The 24,233-nt window shown below is 43.0% G+C and overlaps 1 protein-coding gene across 3 annotated transcripts in view, besides 3 other annotated features; it reads left to right on the top strand.

The window, feature by feature from the left end:
* MAML3 (mastermind like transcriptional coactivator 3) overlaps window positions 1–24,233 on the top strand; it is a 437,432-nt gene that overhangs the window by 57,783 nt on the left and 355,416 nt on the right. The gene's annotated exons all lie outside the window — the stretch shown is intronic.
* Window positions 1,318–1,367: an enhancer, noted in NCBI's record as "active region_21933". NCBI's record gives its function as "activates an Ori minimal core promoter by ATAC-STARR-seq in GM12878 lymphoblastoid cells {active_cell/tissue: GM12878}" and the evidence as "EXISTENCE:reporter gene assay evidence [ECO:0000049][PMID:35858748]".
* Window positions 3,327–4,178: an enhancer, noted in NCBI's record as "OCT4-NANOG-H3K27ac hESC enhancer chr4:141013378-141014229 (GRCh37/hg19 assembly coordinates)". NCBI's record gives its function as "activates a minimal SCP1, AML or CMV promoter by ChIP-STARR-seq in naive and primed H9 embryonic stem cells {active_cell/tissue: H9 hESC(naive and primed)}" and the evidence as "EXISTENCE:reporter gene assay evidence [ECO:0000049][PMID:30033119]".
* Window positions 17,314–17,813: an enhancer, noted in NCBI's record as "NANOG-H3K4me1 hESC enhancer chr4:140999743-141000242 (GRCh37/hg19 assembly coordinates)". NCBI's record gives its function as "activates a minimal SCP1, AML or CMV promoter by ChIP-STARR-seq in naive H9 embryonic stem cells {active_cell/tissue: H9 hESC(naive)}" and the evidence as "EXISTENCE:reporter gene assay evidence [ECO:0000049][PMID:30033119]".

The raw sequence follows: 24,233 nt of genomic DNA, 5'->3' as shown, positions 1-24,233 counted from the left end.
GGGTCCATGCTGTATTCTGGTTAGTTAAGGTTTCAAGATAAATGAGCTGTCATTCTGTGACTCATCGAGAACTGTTTTAAGCAGCTACACAGCCTTGGAGAATAAAGGATGTCTAATCATCTCCAGTTTCCTGTCCTGGTTGACGTCATTGTCACCGTCATCATCTTCAACTCCATCAAGTTATTAAGTACCCCAAAGTGCGTAAGTTGCTAGACAAAATATGTTCCATAGACACAACCGTTGGTGTCTAGGAGTCTGCCTTCTTTAAATAGGTAGCACCAGAATGGGTCTAAGGCATACTTAGGTATTGATTGCCCTGTGGTAGGTAATAGAGAGCATCAGCTAGTAATCTGAAAGTACAAATGCAATATCCCAATTGCTGAGAACCTGCTGTGTGTAACAGGAGCCCACAGTGTGTAACTGGGTGCTGAGACTACACAGGGAAATATTACCCAGTCCCTGCCCTTTAGGAGCTTGATCCAATGACAGAAATGTGTATGAAGCACTTAGCCCAGTCTGGAGGTGGGGAGTCCGTGAACAAAGTCAGAGTTATTAGCTGGGTGAAGGGGAGGAGGGGCCTTTCTCTGGAGAGGGTGGAGCCTGAACAGGAAGCAGGAAGCTTCCTGTGGCGGGGTAGGAACCAGTGCAGGTCCCTGCTGCAAGGATTGAGTGGGTGACAGTGGAGAGGAACATGGGTTCTCAGATGTTATTGGGGGGCTCGGAGGGTAGGGCAGAGGGACACAGGGCAATGGAGTTAGAATTCTGTGTTAGGCGGCCCCTGGAAAGAAGAGGGGGCAAGAAGGGCAGTGAGGAGGATGGATTTGGGCTTGAACTAGGGCTGTGGTCTTATCTCTAGATTCTGGGGGCTGGATTTGAGAAATGTGTGTGAAATAAAATTTAGAAAGCTTGCAGAGGATGTAGGAGATGAGGAGAGGGGACAGTTAAGCCTGACCCTCAGCCTGGAGCGCAGGGTGTTGTTGCCAATTGGGGGTCAAGTGGGAGAGAAAGATGAAGGATTCAGGTTTGGATATGCAGATTTGACCGTCTGTGGAGATGCTCCAGAAGCAGTGGGGGGTCCAGACGAGGCTCAGTGTGATCTCCAACATGGACAGTGGTGGGCCTACTGATTTGCTCTGTGAAAGTTGGGGAGAGCAGCTGGGATTTCTGGGAATAGATTAGGCAGGAAGGAGAGGTTCTTCCTATTCAGGCAAATTGAATCTGAAAAAAGAGAGCAAAGAAAGATGTGTGGCACCCCAAGGGCAGGTACTCTGTGACGTCCTTTGAGAAGGAGGCGGGGCTCCTGCCTGAGGCAGGGTCAGGGCAGCCCCAAGGCTGTGGGTGGCTGCAGCCTGGCTGCGGAGAGGCACCTCTGCTGCAGTCAGGGGCTTGGATCCGTCCTGCTGATTGGCCTGGGTTTTGCTCTTGGCACTCAGTGGCAAGCGTCCAGACCTCCACTGGGCTGCCACGCACAGCTAGAAGGGTGGGAGAAGAGGAACTGGTCTTTCCATACAGCGTCTTCTGGCTTTGAGACAAAAGAAAAAGAACAGCTTATTGCACACTTCATGACACAGAGAGACAGCTATTGATCAGCTGAGAAACATTACAGACAGACAGACAGGAAAGGAGGAAGGAAGCGGGAAGATGATCAAATAGTTTGTTCAGCTTGAAGCCGCATTTTTACAAACACAAAGAGCCCAGAAGAAGAGAAAGTTACTTTTGTGTGGGTCCTTAATTAGGAAGTTCACGTTGGCCACCGGCTATCTTAGGAACTACTCTCCATTGTTTGAAGTGCTCTGTCTTCATCAGAGATGGGTCAGGGTGATGACTTAAATGAGCGAGAAAGGAGTAAATTGGTTCCAAGTTTAAGGTTTTCTTAATTAGAAGGCCTGAGAGAAGATGAGTGAGGACAAATCCGAGTTTCCCTGTGTGTGGCTGGCCATGGTTGGCGGTCGCAGCATCACAGCGTTGGCCGGCTGCTGCTTAGCTTTATTTTACTTGTGATTTTTCTTTGTTATGCACCGAACAGATTCCCCTCTCTGGTATTCAGTGGGGAGCATATAGCCGGAGGATAGCAATTAGCTATAGCTAGGCCTGCTCCTCTTTGCACAGCTCAAGATGACGTGTACAATTACTTTGGCACCTCACCAGCTCTTTCAGACCTTTTCCATGCATGATGGGAAGACAGGTCCATTCTCTGAGAGTCCCTCACTCCCTCCCCCTCCCAAATTCCCCCTTACCTGGATGAAATCCTGATGTAAATGGACCTTGCCTGCAAATAGAACTGAAGGGACCTGTTACGTCATCAGGCCTGGCAGAGCTCATTGGCAGAGAAGTTAAGAGTTTTATTTTAGACCCAGAGACCAGGCTGTGCAGATCCAGCTAGAACAGGTCTCTTCTGGCTCAGCCTCAGCTGCTGGCCCTCCTGCTGTGGTTACTGGGGCTCCAAAGGATGGAATGTCAGGGGGATCATGCTGCACAGTGAGCAGGACAACCTGACGGCCAGACCGAATGCACTCCAAAGGAAATCTCAGGCTAGGGTAATACAGCCAAGGTGCTGCCTCTACAATCATGGGAGGTTTCAACCTTCTGGGAGAAAAGCCCTAATGCAGCACATGATGGTATAGATTTGATCCAGGAAGGCAGAGTAAACAAACTATTTAAAGACATGAGTCTTGGCTGGGCACGGTGGCTCACGCCTGTAATCCCAGCACTTTGGGCGGCCGAGACGGGCGGATCACGAGATCAGGAGATCGAGACCATCCTGGCTAACACGGTGAAACCCCATCTCTACTAAAAATAAAAAAAAAATTAAAAAAAATTAGCAGGGCGTGGTGGCGGGTGCCTGTAGTCCCAGCTACTTGGGAGGCTGAGGCAGGAGAATGGCATGAACCCGGAAGGCAGAGATTGCAGTGAGCCGAGATAGTGCCACTGCACTCCAGCCTGGGCGACAGAGCGAGACTCTGTCTCAAAAAAAAAAAAAAAAAACAAACAAACATGAGTCTTAGCTTTTGTGGTTAGGATCCACTGAGCAACCAGAAAGGATATCTTTGCAGAACTGAAAAATCTGGACACATGGTCTGGCAAGCTTTTTTTCTGATTTAGTTATAAAAAGTCACATCTGGTTGTGCCTTGAAGAAATTTTTTTAAAAATGAAATTGTGTTACCAAGTATAGAATGTATCACCAGTCTATAATATGGCAATAGAATGCAAATATAATTTTTAGATATTTCAACTCAGGACCGCCTAAGAAAATTCATATGTTCCTCACACTTTGGGGCCAAGTTATAGATGGGTGAACAACATCGTGCCTGGAAATCTGCTCGCATAAAAGAGCAGCGAGACCTATAAAGTTTTCCTGTCTTCACATTTGTAGGCTAGCCCTGGGTGGATTTCACAATAATACAGTGCAGGAATCCTTGCCACTTCCTCTACTTGTCTCTTGTCTGCTGTCACACTAAGCTGCTAAAGTTTCTGTTGCTTTAATATCACCATCCTTATTATTGACTTGGTACTTAGGGCTCAAATTTTTCTTTTTGGTTGCCTCAGTGTACAGCCAGGCACAGCACAAAACTGGAGTGTGGTCAGGTAGTTTTGGGTCCCTTCTGGAGCTGTTTTGGGAGCCTCTGCGATAGGAGAATACCTTCCAAGCTCCCACAGAGCAGCAGGGAATGAGGTGTGGGCTCCACCCGCCTCTGGAAGCCAGTCGGCTCTCCTCCCGGTGTTTTCTGTTCTGCTGTCGACTGGGCCTGGCCCCTGATGGCACACATTGAAACGCAAATGACAGCAGTAATTGGCTGAGAGATAAACCACGATGAGTGAGTGAGCAGTGCGGCGGGGAGTTAAGTGGCTAAGTGACAATTACTGCTCTGCAGCCTCCGGGATCAGGAGCGGCCGCGCCGTTTGTTCTCGGTTTTAAAGGAGCAATAGCACATTAATTGGAGGAGGGCTTCTCGGTTAACATGCCTCACCCGGCTTCTCATCTGATGCTGCTTTGAGGAGTAGGAGTAGGTGAAGGATTGCCTTGTTGATGATCTTCCCCCAGTCCCACTCCCCCTTTTGGATTAGAATTTTGGAAACCGGTGTCCTTGATTCTGGTAGAATGATAGTTGGTTTACCTTGAAGATTTTCTGAAAGTTTCCTTGCAGGAGGAAGGCACCTGTTGATGCTCAGTCGCAAGGTTTCGGTGTCTGCATCGGGGAAAAGCAAGGAGTTAAATTAAGTCTGAGTTCCCATCTTTCCCTCCAGACAGTTCATTAACCCTCTGATATTATATATATATACGTATATATATATATACGTATATATATATATACGTATATATATACGTATATATATATAAAGTTTTTATCTCAAAAATGATCTATAAGCTAGATAGAGCAATGGACAACAGAGATGATACCCCACTGCTTTTTGGAGTGTATAGTCTCGTTTGAAGATAGGAAATAAATAGATAGGAAATAAATAAAACTATGGCCTGCTGTTTTACCTGCTCAGAGTGGGGATCCTTAGTAAGGAGAATCCTGGGGTCCTTGGAGAGAAGAAGGTTGCAGTCCTCGAAGAGAGGAAGGTTGCTAGCCTGGGTCTGCCCTGCTTTCTTCGAAAGGCCATTTGAACCCTGTTCTGGGCATAAACAGCCATTAAGATGATTAGTTTGGGCTTGATAAGTAGACTAAACAAACCCTTGAACTAGTTGGGAGCCCTTTCTCTCCTGTAATCTGCCTTTCTACTGCATTCAAACTAATTTCTCAGGGTCTGAATACCTTACAAGTACTATCTAATGGGTGTATTGTTTTTGTTTATGTGGTTTCCTTCAGCCTCAGCAGCTTGGTCCTTGGTCCTGTTTTTTTTTTTTGTTTTGTTTTTGTTTTGTTGTTTTGTTTTGTTTTACACTAATCATTCCCTCTAGTTGAAAGGGTTCTAACCAGCCTCTTGCCTTGTGCAAGGAATTAGTCATTTCAGGAACAGGAACTTGTCTGCTTTGGGACAGATTTCTACCCAGAGGCTTAAACCTACATAAAATAGTGAAAATGATTTAAAGAAAAGGTAGACCCTAACTGGTGGCAGGTAGGAGAAGCTCAGCCCCTCTCTTGGCTTATCTTGGAAGGCTTTAGGAAAAAAATCTTGCCTGTCAGCTAAAGCCAGCTTTGCTGCGAGCAAGGAGAATGGAATAGGAAAAAGCAGTTGTACCTGATTGTGTAAAATAGTGTATGTAGGGCTTTTTGCTATGCAGACTTCATGAAATTACCAGGCAGAGATGGAGATGCTGGCTTTTCCTAATTAGAAAAAGCCCTCTGTCCAATTTCTTTCTCTGTCTTTTTGTTGTTTGTTGTTGTTGTTTTGGTTTTGGTTTTGAGACAGAATCTCGCTCTGTTGCCCAGGTTGGAGTGCAGTGGCGCAACCTTGGCTTACTGCAACCTCCGCCTCCTGGATTCAAGTGATTCTCCTGCCTCAGCCTTCCAAGTAGCCGAAATTACACGCACTTGCCACCATGCCTGGCTAATTTTTGTATTTAAGTAGAGACGGTGTTTCACCATGTTTGCCAGGCTGGTCTCAAACTTGCAACCTTAAGTTATCTGCCAGCGTCAGCCTCCCAAAGTGCTGGGATTATAGGCCTGAGCCACCATGCCTGGCCTGTCCAATTTCTGAAGAAAGCCTAGATAAGAATTTGTGGAAGCATGTAGTAGTAGCCACAGACTCTCCACGAAGATGAATAAGTTATTCTTTCAATGAAGCTTTTCTAGGCAGCTTTAGCTTTGTGGTAAGAGTTAGACTGTCTAGGTTTGCATTCTGACTCCGCCACCCACGGGCCAGTTGACCTTGAGAACATTGTTTGATCTTCTCAACTGTCAAATGAGATAGCAGTATAACCCAGTACAGGATTGTTCTGAGAACTAAATGAGCTACTGTAGCACTTCAGCTGTAGGTAAGCACTTAGAACAGTGCCTGGAACTTACTAAGTGCTGATTAAATGTTAGCTGTTGCTATTATTGCTGTGTTGTTATTGTCATTCCTGTTGTGTGCCTCATATCTTTAGTTTGAATCACAAAGATAACAACAACATTCTAACATTCCATGAAGGCCACACAGGTCCTGGGCAGCCCTAGAATCATTTCCGCTAGAGTTCATTTCGCTGTTTCATTGTTGGATATTCCACACTGGAAAACAGAGCTACACAGAAGCACTCTGTAGAATGTCCATTGAAAGATTAACACCACCACCACCGTAAAAACACACCGCAAATTATTTGGGTGTAAACCTGTTCATCAGTCTTAAAATGGCGACAGTAAATCCAGAAGTTTGGTGTTAATTTCTTGGGGGATATTGTCCAGCTATTATGTCATCAAAGATGCATTGGATTTGGAAAAATAAATTTTCTAATACCTTAAATCATTTTAATTCACATCCAGTAAAATGTACTCTTTTTGGTGTACCTTTCTGTGAATTTTGGCAAATGCCTGGATTAACCGCTACCACATAGGGTAGGGTGCGGTGGCTCATGTCTGGAATCCCAGCACTTTGGGAGGCCAAGGCAGCAGGATGGCTTGAGGCCAGGAGTTCAAGACCACTGCCACAATCAAGATGTGGAACAGTTCTCTTACCCCACCCTCAAAGAACATTTCCTCGTGCTACCCCTTTGTAGTCAAACAATCCCCTGTACCTCCAATCCCCAGTAACCACTGATCTGCTCTCCATCCCTATGGTTCTGTTTTTTCTGGAATGTCATGTGAATATCATCATAGAATAGGTAGCCTTTCGAATCTGGCTTCTTCACTTAGCATTGTGCATTTGAGATTCATTCATGCTGTTATATATATCAGTAAAAAGCTTATTTTAAATACTCATAAATCATTGAATTCTGGAGCTAGATGAAATCTGAAAGATCAGAGCCAAACATTCTCATTTCCCAGGTGAAGAAACAGAGACATCCTAGGGTGAAGTGACTTGCCCAAGGTCATGAAACTAATGAAAGAAAGAACATGAACTTGGAATTCCAACTATGAGTTTAGACAGTGTCTGTTACATCATGCTGGGATTAAGGAGAATGTGTAACTGATTGTCAAGGGGGGGTTTCCATTCTTTTTCTTATTATTATTGGTCAAAATCTGATCAAGCAAACTAAGCCTTGCCTTACTTATAATAACAATTTTGGAAGGATTATATTTTTAGGACATGCAATTTCTTTAGAAAGTATATGGATTAGTGTCTTGGTAACACATTTCTTCCTGAGGCACATCCATATCTTTGCTGGTGTCAGTCATAGGTATGATATGATAATAGAGCTTCACCTGAAGGCCTGTCATTTATTTTGTGTTTACAATAATTTCTTTTCAAAAACAAATTTGTGGGAGTATTTTGAGTATTAGTATCTTCCTTGTCATTGATGTTTTAAATACCAATATGTTTCTAGGTGGCTTATTCTAGAGCACTCAACCAGTGGATTCAATAAAGAGCAATTGGTTCCGTAGTTCATTTGTTCAATGATGATTTGTAGAAATTCCACACTGAAAGCACCGAACTGTGGGAGATACAATTAAGATACTGATTTTACTCAGCTTACATCTGATGACTGGGTATTGTGAAATAGTACACAGAAAACTCTAAATTAGTTCTTTTGAGTACTCTTAGAGTCTTGCTAAGCACTATGATAAGCACACTCACATTCCTTAAGAAGCTTTTAAATACCAAAGGAGATACCAGTGAAGAGCTCCTGGCAATGCGTTTTCTTGGTGAGAGCCAGTTGGGATATGGTTTGTCAGTGCATAAAGCACCTCAGAATTTTGTACACTGCAGAAACAAGGTCAGAGCTGTACTATAGGAAGTTCCTCTGTTAGTACCACGTAGAATAGGACAAAGACTAGAAGCTGGAACATGAGTTTGCTAGTCTGGGCAGAAATGAGGAAGGCCCAAACCGTGGAGCAGTGGGAATGGAAAGGAAGAGGTGTTTTGGACATAGAGATAACTGTTGAGATAAGAAGGAGAATCATTCAAAGGATAAGACTACATCTTGATGACTTTTTGGACAGCCCTGTCATGATGGAGAAATTGGGGTTTGTCTGAAAGAAGGGGATAGGGGAGAGAGGAGGGAAAGGGTTCTCCCTCTTAGACCAGGTAAATTTTCCTTCCTCCCTTCCTTTCTTCCTTACTTTTCTTTCTTTCCCTCCCTCCCGTCCTCCCTCCCTTCCTCCCTCCCATCACACTTTTTTGCCCAGGCTGGAGTGCAGTGGTGAGATCGTAGCTCACCATAACCTCGAACTCCTGGGCTCAAATGATCCTCCCTGTGTAGCTGGGACTACAGGTGTGCACCGCTATGCCCGGCTAATTTTTTAAATTTTTTTTGGAGTTGAGGTCTTGCGATGTCGCCCAAGCTGATCTCGAGCTCCTGGTCTCAAACAATCCTCCTGCCTCAGCTTGGCCAATTTTGTTTTCATGTGCTTATGTGTGAACCTGTTAACAAGTATTTATGCTTGATTGTTACTCATTTTCAGAAGGCTAAATATAATCTCATTTTCCTGAAGTAGAGAATTCTGTTTTTCATCGTAAAGAGTTGGTTGTATAGTTATGATTAAACAATTATTTTTGGCCCCTTCCTCCACCTATGACATGATTCAGTGCTTAAAAAGAGGCAGTGTGAGTAGTGAAGGAGACCCAGGATGAAATATAGATGATAAATTATCACCCTGAAAAGTACACACCCTCATTAGGAGCTGAAAGAACATATATTAAGACAACTTTAAAGTGAAGTTATATGCCTAAGACACTTTAAAAAAATAAATGTGAGTTTTAAACCCAGCGTTGATTAAAATGTGGAAAAACATCTTCACTTACACTTTGGTGATGTTTCTGTAAATGGGTACAATATATCCAGGAAAGAATTTCACAATAATTAAAAAGAGGTAAAACTTTATTGTTCGTAGCGTAGAAACCACAGGAAATTCCAAATCATTGTGAAGAATAAAGTTTCTCATGGTAGCATTATTTCCAGTGAAACTGAAACAGTGCAAATTCCCAAATAACAGAATGTCAAGGCAAATATTGCTTCGTAAGACAAAAATGTCTTTAGAATGGGATGCTATGGCAGGGATGAGTATATGAAGTCATATTCATTGAGAGGATATATAAGATAGCATGGACCCTCTGATTACTAGTAAAAGAGAACATCACTAGTAAAAGAGTCACACAAAAAATAGAAAATTTCAATTCTGAGTAAGGATTGGTAGGAGAATGTTTTGTATTTTCTTTTTTGAGATGGAGTCTTACTCTTGCCCAAGCTGGAATGCAATGGCACGATCTCAGCTCACTGCAACCTCCACCTCCCAGGTTCAAGCGATCCTCCTGCCTCAGCCGCCCTAGTATCTGGGGTTACAGGCACGCACCACTATGCCCGGCTAAGTTTTGTATTTTTAGTAGAGACGGGGTTTCGCCATGTTGGCCATGCCGGTCTCGAACTCCTGATCTCAGGTGATCCACCCACCTCACCCTCCCAAAGTGCTGGGATTACAGGCGTGAGCCACCGTGCCCGGCCTATTTTCATTCTTTTTTCAAAGTGAGCAATAGGGACATAGCTTAAAAGAAAGAAAATTTCTTTTTAAAATCTCTCTTTTTTTTCTCTACTCCTACGACAGGTTAGAAACAAAGAAAATTTCTAGTGAAATGGTTTAATGTTCATGGTCCCCTTCCCCTCTTCTCTCGTTCACCCCACCCCACCTTTAAGTGGTTCAGTTTACATTTAGGTTTACTCTATATTATGAGAGAGAGTAGGAGGATGAATTCACCATATTCGTGAGGGTCTGAACACTGGTACTTTAGTTCTGATTCTGCCATACCTGTAAGATCTTGAGCTGATCGCAAAATAATTGATATTTTAAATGCCTTTTTTTTTCCCTTAAAGAATGATTGAAATTTCTTCATCCTCTCTGTTCTCACATTGATACTGAGAAGATCGTTGGAATAAAGCATGTAAAACCACTTGAAGCATTTGGACGACGAGACAGTGTATTGTTTAACTCTATTGTGGGACAAAAGAAAATGAAAGAAATGGATACTGGAGATGACCTGTTTGAGTCCAAGCATGTGTGCTTATCAAAGTGAGATTCAAGGAAGAGAAGTTTCAGGGGACGCTGATGGGGCAGGGTCTTACCCAGACACATTTGTGAGGTAGCGCCTATGTGCGGATGGTGGAGGGTCAGATCAGCTATTCCCGCCTTAGAGCAACTTTGGACACATCACTGAAGCTTTTAATGTTTTATGTATATGTACAGAGAGATCCTCTTAAATTGGAAAACAAACATTTGAGGAGGGCCTGTAAGAGCCATTTCTTAGATTAGAAAAGACTTGTGCTGAATCCAAGAAAAGAAAACATCACGGTGAAATGGAAAGTTTACATGAGTTTTAGTTAGAGCCAAAATTTTCTTCACTAAAGTAAATTTAGACCAGTAGTAGTTAAAGGGGAAAGCATAAATTTTCCACTGGCAAAAATGATAGAGGCCAAGAAGAAATCTGTAGGACAAATGGCCACAGATATAAAATAATTAAAAAACGACGGTTTTCAGTGCAACTGGAGCTACGGTCTCTGAGAAAATTTGACTAATGAAGGCAGCAGCTACACCCAATAGGTAGGATTTTGGGTGTCTTATTCTTTATTTTGAAACTGTATTTATTATACATGAACATTGAAAGGTACCCGTGGGTTAAGCATGCTCTTGTGTGAGAGACAAGAAAAGCAATCGGAAGTATTTTCAGAATTCTTTTCATGCCCATGTGTTTGCCCGTTTTGGCCAAGCAGCTCTGGAAACAGCTGCCCTGACCCTTCTAAGAGGTTTGCATAAGGGCGCAGAGAATGGAGTTCGTAGCGAGTGGGAGGAACCAGTGCAGGTATCTATCATTTGTTTTCCTTTTCCTGAGTCAAATGGGGGCAAAGTAGAGAACCTTTTAGCTTCTGTACATGTGCACAGTGTGATTCAGGTAACCAGGGGTGGGGAATGGAGTAATTCCCTCCTCGGGTTTTATGAGGGTGCCCTGGGGCCTGCGCTCTGTCCCCTGGGAAACAGATCCAAACTAGGGTGTCCTTTGAAGTTACTGGCTGCTCCACTTAGACCAGCTCTATGACTGCAAAGCAAGATGAGTAACTGGTCGCAAATGTTTAACTACCCATTACCCGTTTGTTAAGAGCTTGGGAAGAAATACGCAAGGAAAACACAAAAACAGATGAGACAACAGGCATTTAGACCTTATTTGTTTCTTCGTGCTGTGGCTGGTATGTAAACAAACCCTTGATTTTGTGAACTCTGTTCACATCCTGCTAACAGCTTCACTGTGGTCTGGGGGCAGATACTGGGATGCCAGAAGCATCAGAGGGGATATTCAGGGGAGCATTTCCAAATTATCACCAAATGATAGCAACAGCAGCCACAACAAGGACTATAACCCAATGTAAACCGTTATAGCTATCCTCCCCTGCCGCCCCCCGATGTTTTTAAGGTTACATTGGACTAGGGTGATGCATTGTAGGGGAAAAAAAGGTAGTATTTTAAATACTAGACCTTTGTATTTTTCCCATCGTTTGACAAAACCTTGAACACAATGTGTTCAAGTCATTTGTTAGTCCTCAAAGTAGGTTAAAGGATTCTCTTTCTTTGGAAAAGTAAGTTTTGTTTCTGGGGCCCAAAAATAGTTGCTAAAATTTTTTCCATTTTGTTTGTTTTGTTTATGAGTCGTTTCATTTTGGAGGTCAGGAAATAAATGCTGGCGTTAGGTCGTGCTTCATAGTAACGAGGTGAAAAGTGGAATATTAGGAATAAAGTGGTGGGAAAGGAGGTAATGGGGAAATCTGAGACATAAATACTCAGATACAGGAAGTTGAAGAATTTAGGAATAAATAAACCTTCAAATGGCTGATCTAGTAGTGAAAATGTATAAAGAAATACACAGCATTACTGTTGTCTTTGAGGAGCCTGCCTGATATTTAGGGTGGCAGTGTGCCAGGTTTCATACCTTCATTCCCTGTGTATACGTGCACATTAGGTTGTGCACGTGGCAACAAACCATCAAAAATAGTTGAGAAGAGTTTTGTAAACAAATAAAATATTTAAGTGATTGTAACAAGACAAGTAGGCCTGGCTGTAAAGTTGTGTCTGCCACTAAAGGGTAAATCCCTGAGTAGTCATCGGCCCTTTGCTTGTCTAGTAATTTAGATTTTCAGAAAGCGTTTGATAAAGTTTCTCTCACGTGCATATTATCAGATAATAGTAATCATTCATTCATGCATTCATCCAATAAATACTTACTGAGTGCTAAGTGATGGTGACATATTATAGATTTCAGATTTCTAGAAATAACCAGAACTGGGGAGATGGGGTTGGCCATTCTCTGCTGGCAGGAGGGTGAGTTCCATTATTCTCTCTCTCTCTCTCTCTCTCTCTCTCTCTCTCTCTCTGTGTGTGTGTGTGTGTGTGTGTGTGTGTGTGTGTGCGCGCGTGTGTGTTTCAATCTAGGGTGTTTCTTTTGCCGTTGGGCTTTTCTGTAGCCTACAGGAGTCAGTGTGTTGGGGCGAACTTAAGGCCTGGAGGAGGAGTGGAGTGGGCCAAATGCTTGTAAACTGCCTGGGAGAGAGGTAGAGAATGGCAAGTGGATCTAAAACAAAATAAAATACCCAGACCCTGCTGTTGGCAAAACATCAATTGGCCTAGTTAATACAGGGGAAACTTAGGGGAACCTTCTGGTTAGACTGAGAGGTAAAACTAAAGAATAACTGGAGTTGCCAGAAAAGTGGATGGTAGCATGATGTCATAAATTTGACAGGCAGACCTGCATGTTAGGAAAAGCACACGGTTCAGGAAAGGCTCAAGTGTCAGGTCTGAGAAGCCCAAATAGCATTTATGTGCAAACAAGGAACATATCCATCTGTATTCCTTCCTGTTTTTCTGACTACTTAAGATTCCATATTAGATGCTCCTGACCTCCCTAAATCTGGCCCAGGGCAAGAAGGGTGACTGTGCATTGGAATGGCATGCATGGGAGTGCTCATTTATTCAGAAATCATTTGCAGAGCAGCAACCATGTATTAGTTATATGTGTAAAAGTAGTGGGCATTTTCTTCCAGCACCTAAGAGGAGTGGGCAATGTGGGGAAAGATAGGGGAAATGTTTTACAGATGCCACAAAGATGAAGCTTCTTTCAGAAGGTGAGCTGTAATGTAGTGGAAAGAGACAGACAAGACCTGAGCTTTATTTGCGGTTCTTTACTTACTAGCTAGGTTCTGAGCCTTCGATTCTTTTCCATAAAATGGAGATAATAATTTCTATCCTTTTCCCTCCTAGATTTGTTGTAAACATGAAACTATTCATAGAAAGAATACAGAGTAAACTGTTAAGCACTATATACATGTTTGTATAATCAGACGATTGTTTTCAAAAAGTAGTAATAGCACACCCTGAGCGGTTAGAGTTGCTGATGAACCTTGCCTGTTTTCAGGGATTGCCTCCTTGGTGGAGCATCATGAGTCCAGTTCACTTGTAAATAGAACCTTCCCTGGTTCTTTTTGAATTTAGGGCTACTGGTACGAGCTCAGCCCCGGTGGGACCCAGGAGTTTCACAGTGGTCTCCAACTTCGGGATTTCTGACAAGCTCCTAATACAGTTTATTTAAAAAAAAAAAAAATCCTAGAGTGGTTGAGTTGCCTTCTGGGGAAAGCCTGGTGGGGGTGCGTTGGTGCCTTGGGATGAGCAGGACTTTGTGCCCGCCCCGTGTGAACTTTTACTTCCTGACAGCAATAGAGATGGACTTGCCTGTGAGGTCGGGAGCTGTATGCTGGGGACTGCAAAGGCCATGCCTTGGTATGGGCTAGTGGCCATAGTAACGACACTACTGTGGGCAGAGCTCCATGTTAGGCCCAACAGGCAACCAGGCAGGGAGGAAGGACGCTGGGAAGCAAATACAGGCAAACAGCATCTTCAGATGTGGAGGTGGTCCCAGCCAGTACTGCAGGCCCACCTTCCTCTCAGAGGCAGTCGCTGCTTTGGCCAGTGTGTCTGTGTGGTTTGTTTTAAATTAGACGAGGCCTGAAAAATGAAAGGAAAACGAGAAGAATTTCACTATGAGAACATATGGAGATGACCAGATTCGTCCCACTTGAGCCCCTGGGCAGAATAAACTTGCACTGCTAGTGGTGAACAGCAGTGTGCAATAAAACATTCTTCCCTTGAACCCTTTGACTGTGAAAGAGGCACAAGGGGAGAACGCAGCAGGAATTCTTTCTTTTCAGCTGCTTCCTACTCTGTTGCTTACATTCACTCCGCAGATCTTATTGGTCTGCTACTGTGTGTGAGAGGGAGAAAAGACTGAGTGTGTGTTTTATGGAGGAGACTGATTAGCTTTGGCCCTGTTTTTGTGTCATTGGTGGTGCTATGGATCCTATTTTATGTTTACTGCCCCTTGACATTTCTTAAAAGGAGTCTTCAAAGCAGAAGGTCCTATTCTGAAGATAGGTTTCTGGGCAGTAAAGTTGACAGGGTTTAACATCAGGAAAATAAACCTAATAGAAAAAGAAAGAAGCATAAACAACTCCAGCTACATTCCACAGTGGCCTTTGATGGGAAGAGGCCTTGTTTATGGAGATCTACGGGCAGCCTAGACGGTTCACATCCTCTGGTGTTGTGCAGTGTGAGGTCTGTTTCCTACCCTCCCCATTAGATGACCCCAGCATTTGTAGCAGCGGCTACATATTAAAGCCATTAGATAAAATCATGCCAATGAGACTTCAATGTTTACTCACAGAATTTCTCAAATTGGGGCACTGTTGACTTATTCCTCCCTCATCTATTTCTCCCTTAGCTCAGCCAATCCCAGTGCTCTCTCTTCTTCAGCCAACCAATGCCTGCATATTTAGTGAATTTTGCATTTATGTTATTGAACTTGAAAGCAACTTGCTTAATATAACCAAGGAAGTACCTAAAAAGCTTTATTTCAGTAAGCACGATATTGGTAAATAAGGAGAGTGTTGTCTTATGGTCCTTGGATATACTATTTTTCTTCTCAGTGATAAGACAGTGAGTTAATGAGGATTTTGCTTGTGGAACTTCGGGTGTAGGTTGTAGATGTGTGTTTACATTTTGTGTTCATGTACAAATGTGTATGTATATTTGTTTTTTTTTTAATGTGTTTAATCTCCTGACAAAGACATGTTATTTTCTTTTTTATACCCATACCTCTTATAAACAGAATTCCAGAGGGAAAAATCTAGGCAGAGGAAGCCTAAAATATTTTTAGCAGATAAAAAGTGATGTTGCTATAACCACAGATATTCAAACAGAAAGTAAAGTAGACGTGAGAGAATGCAATGTGGTCTATGCATTGTAACATTTTCCTTCATAGTAAGGCATGGGGGTTAGGGGGAAGAACCCACCTAACAGCTCATATATTTTGTGTTTAATGATGTGTAAATATTTGGCTATATTTAATAATTAAAACTATGGATTCCATTTTTCTATATAGACGCCTGCTCAATTCAGAATTTCTTTTTATATACAAACAAGCAAAAAGATTGAGTGGGATTTTACCTTATGTGGAATAGCACAACAGTATAAAGCCAGGTGTTGGTTTTAGTGGAATCAGTGTTTCAGGCAAAAATAGCCATCATTGCTGCCTTTTTTCATCAGTTTCTATACTAACCAGGCAGGCCTCTGCATTGGGAAAACATAAGTTGGAGTGGAAACCGAACAACGGGAAGTTTTCATATATTTTCTTACCTCCATGTTGAGTGCTTACCAACTGCAATTTTAGAGGGTAGGTTTTTTAGAGGTGCTCTGCAAACTTCCTATGGTGAAAGACCAGTTTCTTCTCCTTCTATTTCCAATCCATTTCTCACTGTTACATTTAGAAAATACAATAAAAATGTACTACTAGAAAAGTGATCATGTGCTCGAATGTTCCTTTAATTACAGATTGCTGTGGGCCTCTCACCATGCACTTTTAAATTTCTGTGCCCTGTGGGTGTGGAACATTACCGTTTAAAGGATGAGAACCAAGTCCAGACACCATGCTTTGAGTAACACCATCTTTGGGCACATTCAGACCCATGAGTAGAGCTCCTGTCTGTGATGGTTAAATGAGTGAAAAAGCCTAAAGAAGAGACATTTCAGCTGTTTGCCTTTTCTGCAGGCATTTCTGTGCTAGCTCCTTCAAGCTCCCTCTTTAGTCTTTGCCTCCCATTCTTTCTATTGTGTACCTTTGGGTTAATTACACATCTTAACTTCCCGTTTCCTGCAGATTAACCTTCACTTCAAAAATGTAAGTGATTACATGCACTTCTTTTTCCCAAAATTAACTGCCATACACTCCGTATTCATCATTCAAGGGAGTATCGTATTTTTTATTAATACATTTGAAATAAATCCAAACACCTGTCTTGCATTTTGTAAACATTTTCTCAACTCCATGTTGAGTGCTTACCAACTGCAATTTTAGAGAGTAAGTTTGTATCTTAGAGTGAATTACACCTTCTATGAGTACATACATTTTACAGGTCAGTCTGAGACATTTACATAACAATTAAGAAAATTAATATATTGCTGACTTCCTCTCTTTGGCTTTGAATGCCTATAAATGGCACTAAATAAGAAGGTCATGGTATTAGTAATGCAGAATTCAGTCTTTGGTCTGGGGTCATTTGGGAAATATTAACTACTTTCTTATATATGGTTAGACCTTGACTAAATGCTTTTTAGTATTCTTAGGATTTTTGGGGGGATGGGAGTTGTTTACTCTTTAGTTTCCCAATGCAAGGAGGAAAAATATAAATATGTAGAACTATGGCCAGGTGTGGTGGCTCACGCCTGTAATCCCAGCACTTTGGGAGGCTGAGGCGGGCAGATCACTTGAGGTTAGGAGTTTGAGACCATCCTGGCCAACGTGGTGAAACTCCATATCTACTAGAAATACAAAAATTAGCAGAGTGTGGTGGTGGGTGCCTGTAATCCCAGCTACTCTCGAGGCTGAGGCAGGAGAATCTCTTGAACCTGGGAGACGGAGGTTGCAGTGAGCCGAGATTGTGCCACTGCACTCCATGCCTGGGCAACTGAGCAAGACTCCATCTAAAAAAATTTTTTTTAAATTAATTAATTAATTAATAGAACTATAATTTGCTTCATGTTTCCTCCTTTCAGAAGGATGTTCATTCACAAATCTAATTTTCCCTAATTTAAAATTCCTTTTTTAAAAAGTCGGTTGACTATCATGGCTGAAGAGGTTACCTTCCTTTCTGGAAACTGAGTCAGAGGTCTCCTTACCAGTGGTGGGCACTGTATAAAAGAAGGCACTGAGCTCTTGATTCCTGCTTTTGCCTTCCTTCTTATCAACTCCAGCATGGGATTCAGAAGGTGGACTTCCCATATCTGTATCAGCAGAGACCTGCGAGGTTTTTCATATACCATTGTAGACATAATTATAATTTAACACCCACCCAGACTTTCTCTCTCTGTCTGCTGCCTCTTTTTCCTCCTGTGACAATGGTCTCTAAGGCCTGGTGGTTGGAAATGACCCCTCTGTTTCCTTTCCTTTCCAGCCCTCATGGTGGGCCCTGGGAGTTTGTGCTGAGCTGGGAGGGTGAGTCCCTTTTCTTGGAGTCCGGCACGGAGAAGTTCCTTTCATCCTGGCAATGGGAGCTGGAGACAAAGCTTAATTTCTTTGACTCTCTAGCTTTCTTTTCATTTTTATGCCTGCCTTGTCAATTCTTGCTCTAGTCCCTCTTTTCCAGGAATCTTTAGCTTTCCATCATTTTACTGTTGTTCTGAAGGCACAGATTGCTCATCAAACCTTCAGGGAGTTCTGGGTCTTCCGCCCAGGCTCCCTCCTCCAGCCCCACCCTCCCCCATCCTGTGGCAAGTGAGATCCCTGAAAGCAGAGAAGCTTGGAGTGGCCTTCTCTGATTACCACAACATCGCTGGTGTCACATTAACAGCCCTGAGCTCTTGTAGCTTTCCTCAAAGCTCTGTGTGGGAGGCATAAAGTGTAATACAAATAGTAATGATTAAAAGAGTCCTATTTTTCTCTAGCATTCTCCCATTTCTAAAGTAAAGCAAGGGTCGTACGGCTCCTGTTTAGTAGCTTGATAAAGTTGGAAATTATTAGTATGGGAGAGGGTGATTTTTTTTCTTAAAACCAAAACATCTGATGCCTTTTCCTTGGTGCTAGAGCTATGGTGCCTTCTTGTCCTTTGCCTATACTTTTTATCCCTGTTGTTTTCAGACCCTGTTACAAGGACAGGGAGTGAAGAAGGGAGGACTTAACTTCTAGGAAAGACTGTTGCGACTGATTCATTTCCAGAAGTGTTTGGGAACAGAAAAACCTGTCTTTATTTATTTATTTATTTATTTATTTTTTTATTTATTTGAGACGGAGTCTTGCTCTGTTGCCAGGTTGGAGTGCATTGGCACGATCTCGGCTCACTGCAACCTCTGCCTCCTGAGTTCAAGCGATTCTCCTGCCTGGGCCTCCCGAGTAGCTGGGACTACAGGTGCCCGCCACTATGCCCAGCTAATTTTTGTATTTTTAGTAGAGACAGGGTTTCACCATGTTGGCTGGGATGGTCTTGAACTCCTGACCTCATGATCCGCCCACCTCGGCCTTCCAAAGTGCTGGGATTACAGGCGTGAGCCACCATACCCGGCCCCTCTCTTTATTTTTAACCCTGCTTTGCTCAGAAAGGGATAGTGGCTACCTTGGTAAATAATACTAGCCTACTTCTATGTTCTCTGTGCAAAGATTTGATATATATTCTGCCTCTCAAACCCCACCGCAACTGTAAGATAGTTACTATCTATCATCAGCCCCACTTTGAGGATAAGTGAACTGAGGCTTGGAGTGGTTTAGTGGTCACAGAACTTTATGATAGTTGGAATTTGAATTCTAATCTGTTTGGCTCGAAAATTCAATGTTGTATTGAGAAGGGGGCAACGTGATGGAAGAAAGCATTGGCCTTCCCAGTGGAGTGATGCTTCAGGGCTGCCTTTGATGCGGGGCTGCAAGATTTTGTTGGGTGAGGAGGGAACAACCCTCTGCTTCCTTTTATGGCAGTACTGATGGGGGAAGTTTTGTATGAATCAGAAACATTGATTTTGTAAGTTATGTTGATAAGATTCCTGCTTAGACATGGAGAGATCAAGAATGATTCTCTATGGCATTTCAGGTTAAAGAACTTGAAAATGTTTGTTGGAGATAGGATTCCTGCTAGGTGCGGTGGCTCATGCTTGTAATCCCAGCACTTTGGGAGGCTGAGGTGGGTGGATCACCTGAGGTCAGGAGTTCAAGACCAGCCTGGCCAACATGGCGAAACCCCAAAAATACAAAAATTAGCCAGGTGTGGTGGCGGGCGCCTGTAATCCCAGCTACTTGGGAGGCTGAGGCAGAGTGAATTGCTTGAACCCTGGAGGCGGAGGTTGCAGTGAGCCGAGATTGCGCCACTGCACTCCAGCCTTGGCAACAGAGTGAGACTCCGTTTCAAAACAACAGCAACAACCACAACAAAAAAGAAAAAAACAAAAACAACAACAAAAAAACAAAAACGAGATAAGATTCCTTCCCTGTGTCTGCCCGCGAGCTGTCTGGAACCATGCACCAGTCAGGAAATGGCAACTTGTGGCAGCCCATCTTGGGGAAGAACAAACTGGATGGTTAGAAGGGACAGAAAAGATGCAGACAGGTTTCAGGGAAAGATGGTGTCCACACAAAGGCCCATGTGTTAAAGAGGCCAAATACTAGCTCAGAATCAGCAGCTAAGAAAAGGCACTTTCTGGAAGCCTCAATAAATCAGGCAAACCAAATGGCAGCAAGAGAAGTAGGCATAGGTGAAGCAGGACTTCCAGGGGCCTGGAGCCTAAGACTTTGAAGAGACAGGAGAAAACTGCAGAGTCAGTACAGGATGGAGGAGAGTTTTTTCATTTCAACCACAAAAGTCTCATTTGTCTCCTTTTCGTGCTCACACCTTATCCTGAGATCTCCACCAGCCAGGAAGTTTGCCTGAGCTTTATTGCTCTTGTTTTACAAAAAAATGCATTTTCACTTTGAACGTACAAAATTAAAATGGTAACTTAAAAATATATTGGAGAAAATATCTAAGGGAGCATCCTTAGTCCCCATAATATCTTATTTGATCTTCACAGACCTTGGTTGGGGGATAGAGAGGGAATATTCCTAGAAAGAATAAATAATAACTTTTATATTATATTATATATATATAAATGGGCCAGGTGTGGTGGCTCATGCCTTTAATACCAGGGCTTTGGGAGGCTGAGGCAGGACGATCACTTGAGGCCAGGTGTTTAAGACCAGCCTGGGCAACATAGGGAGGCTGGGTGTGGTGGCTCACGCCTGTAATCCCAGCACTTTGGGAGGCCAAGGCAGGTGGATCCCTTGAGACCAGGAGTTCGAGACTAGCCTGGCCAACATGGCAAAACCTCATCTCTACTAAAAAGACAAAAAATTAGCTGGTTGTTGTGGTGCATGCCTGTAGTCCCAGCTACTCTTGAGGCTGAGGTGGGAGAATCGCTTGAATCCGGGAAGCAGAGGTTGCAGTGAGCCAAGATCATACCACTGCACTCCAGCCTGGGCGACAGAGAGAGACCCTGTCCCCCTCCGCCCCCACCCCCAAAAAAGACTAGCCTGGGCAACATAGGGAGACGTCATCTCTACAAAAAAAATTTGAAATTGGCCAGTCATGGTGATGTGTGCCCATGGTCCCAGCTACTTAGGAGGCTGAGGTGGGAGGATTGCTTGAGCCCAAGAGTTCCAGGCTGCAGTGAGTTATGATAGCACCATTGCACTCCAGTCTGGGTGATAGAGTGACATCCTATCTCTAAAAATAAAATAAAATAATATGTATCTATGTTTAACTTTCACATTGTGCTTTAAAATATATAAAGTGCACATACATATATGTTCTTTATAACGCTCTATGAGGAAAATTGGTTAGCGAACTCATTAATTGCTAAACATCTAGATTTTGATGTTAAGAGCACAAGAGACTTGCATTTTGTTAACTTGTTTTTTTCTACACATCTATATTTTACTTTTTTCTTAATTCTTTAATGCAGTTAATTTTGGAAAATCTCAGACAGGTGAAAAGTACCTTGACACTGGAAGGAGACATAACCTGGAACAAATTCCTGTCTCTGCCACTTGCTAGCAATGTGACCTTGGCCAAATAGCTTAAATTTCCCAAACTTCAGCCTTCTTATGGATAAATTGGCACTAATAACCTGCCTCACAGAAATGTTATGAGCATTAAATGAGATGATAGATCTAAAGCACTTAACAGTGCTGAGTCTATCATAAGCGTTCAGTAAAGTAAACTACAGGTTGAGTATCTCTAATCCAAAATGCTTGGGACCAGAAGTGTTTTAGATTTTGGATATTTCTGGATTTGGGAATATTTGCATATATATAATGAGATATCTTGGGACTGGGACCCAATTCTAAACACGAAATTCATTTATTCTTCATATGCACCTTGTACACATAGCCTGGTAATTTTATACAATATTCTTAATAACTTTGTGCATGAAACAAAGTTTGTGTACATTGAACTATCAGAAAGCAAAGGAGTCACTATCTCAGCCATCCATGTGGGCCATCTGTGGTTGTTTGGCATCACCGTCATTCCTGACTGTGAATTTATATGGCCCCTATAAGCAATCATTTTCTTACACTTACACACATAAGTACTTAACACTAAAATATGACATACTATGAATACAGTGAAAACTAATGTGCTCAGGGTAACTAAGCAGCACAGTAGCATCACCAGAAGAGCTGGGATGCGGAATAGACTGCATGTTGTGTGCTTGTATTTTGACTGCGACCTGTCATGAGGTCAGGTGCAGAATTTTCCACGTGGGGCATCATGTTGGCACTCACAAAGTTTCAGATTTTGGAGCATTTCAGATTTTAGATTTTTAAATTAAAAATGTTCAACCTGTATGACTGTTGCTGTTAGCTGACCCTTCCGAGGTCATTTGTGGTGGCAGCTGAGGATTCTGCCTTATATGTTTTCAAAGGACCAGGGGGTTGCTGGTAGGTACAAGGAAGGAAGAAGCTGGGGAATAGCTGGGGATGAATAATGACCCTCTCCCTCATAGTACACATGTCCTCTTTCTTTCTTTCTTTCTTTCTTTCTTTCTTTCTTTCTTTCTTTCTTTCTTTCTTTCTTTCTCTTTCTTTCTCTCTCTCTCTCTTTCTTTCTTTCCTTTCTCTCTCTCTTTCTTTCTTTCTTTTTCTTTCTTTTTCGAAGTCTCACTCTCTCGCCAGGCTGGAGTGCAGTGGCACAATCTTGGCTCATAGCAACCTCCACCTCCCGTGTTTAAGCTATTGTCCTGCCTCAGCCTCCCGAGTAGATGGGACTACAGGTGAGCGCCACCATGCCCGGTTAATTTTTGTATTTTTAGTAGAGATGGGGTGTCACCATGTTGGCCAGGATGGTCTTGATCTCTTGACCTCGTGATCTGCCCGCCTCGGCCTCCCAAAGTGCTGGGATTACAGGTATGAGCCACCACACCTGGCCACGTGTCCTCTTTCTGATTACTTTGCTCCCTGCTCCAAACCAGGCCTCCTGTTTGATTTTGGTGACCCCAGTTTCTCATTAATATCCTCCTCAGAACTTTCCAATCAAGGCACTAAAATGAGTTGCAAAAAGCAACATATGGATTATTTTGAAGACTATTTTTTCTAGCTTTAGAAGCTGTGAATGTTGCTTGACTCACATACACCCCCTGTCCCCAAAATGGCAGGCGGAGGGTATGGATATCCCCATATCTCATGTCTCTTGTATACTGTGGGTGCCTGGCACAATACCTCACAGCCAGGAAGTAGGTGCTCACTGCAGGGTGGGAGAAAGATCAAAACACCAGGGAACTCATCTATAGTACCAGAGTCTCTCTGATGGAAGTCTATAAGAAATTTTGTTGAAAAAGTGAAGGGTTGGGCGAGGTGGTTCACGCCTGTAATCCCAGCACTTTGGGAGACCTACGTGGGTGGATCACTTGAGGTCAGGAGTTTGAGACCAGCCTGGCCGACATGGTGAAACCCTGTCTCTACTAAAAATACAAAAATTAGCCGGGCATGGTGGCAGGCGCCTATAATCCCAGCTACTTGGGAGGTTGAGGCACGAGAATTGCTTGAACCCAGGAGGTGGAGGTTGCAGTGAACCAAGATCTTGCCACTGCGCTCCAGCCTGGGTGACAGAGAGAGACTGTATCTCAAAAAAAAAAAAAAGAAAACATGGATATAAATTGGTATGGAAAGCCAGATGGTTGCAGATTTGTTGATTTCCAGTTCTCCCATAGATTTTATAGTGCTCATGACCAGCCATCCTCCTCCCTCCCTAGACAAACACACTTTCTGTTGGTCAGGTTGAGAGGCGACTTAAATTTAGAGAAATTTCACCCAGGAAATGCTCATATTGGGATGAACACATAGGACCCCCTGTTTCTTTTTACATCTTCTGTGTTAGCCCAGAAGAAGTGACAAAGAAGTGGCAACTTCATGCAGCGTATCCTCTTCTACCTCCCTTTTATATTTTTCTACTGGTGAGGTACAGCTGTCCCTTGGTGTCCATGGGGGATGGCTACAGGACCCCCTGACAGACACCCAAATCCAGGGATGCTAAAGTCCCTGATATACAATGGTGTTGTATTTGCATATAACTTACGGACGTCCTCCTGTATACTTTTTTTTTTTTTTTTTGAGACGGAGTTTTGCTCTTGTTGCCCAGGTTGGAGTGCAATGGCACGATATTGGCTCACCACAATCTCTGCCTCCCAGGTTCAAGCGATTCTCCTGCCTCAGCCTCCCAAGTAGCTGGGATTACAGGCACGCGCCACCATGCCTGGCTAATTTTGAATTTTTAGTAGAGACGAGGTTTCTTTATGTTGGTCAGGGTGGTCTTGAACTCCTGACCTCAGGTGATCCGCCCACCTTGGCCTCCCAAAGTGCTGGGATTACAGGCATGAGCCACCACGCCTGGCCTGTATACTTTAAGTTATCCCTTGATTTCTTATAATACCTAACACAATGTAAATGCTATGTGAATGGTTGTTACACTGTATTGTTGAGAGAATAATGACAAGAAAAAAGTCTGTACATGTTCAGTACAGTCATAATTTTTTCCTTCAAATATTTGGAAAATATTTGGAATATCTGTTGGTTGAATCCACAGATGCAGAATCCATGAATACGGAGGGCTGAC

This window comes from Homo sapiens, chromosome 4 (assembly GCF_000001405.40).
Source record: "Homo sapiens chromosome 4, GRCh38.p14 Primary Assembly".
NCBI classification, from domain to species: Eukaryota; Metazoa; Chordata; class Mammalia; order Primates; family Hominidae; genus Homo; species Homo sapiens.
Note: the sequence above shows the minus strand (reverse complement) of the source record. Positions and strands in the feature narration are given on the sequence as shown.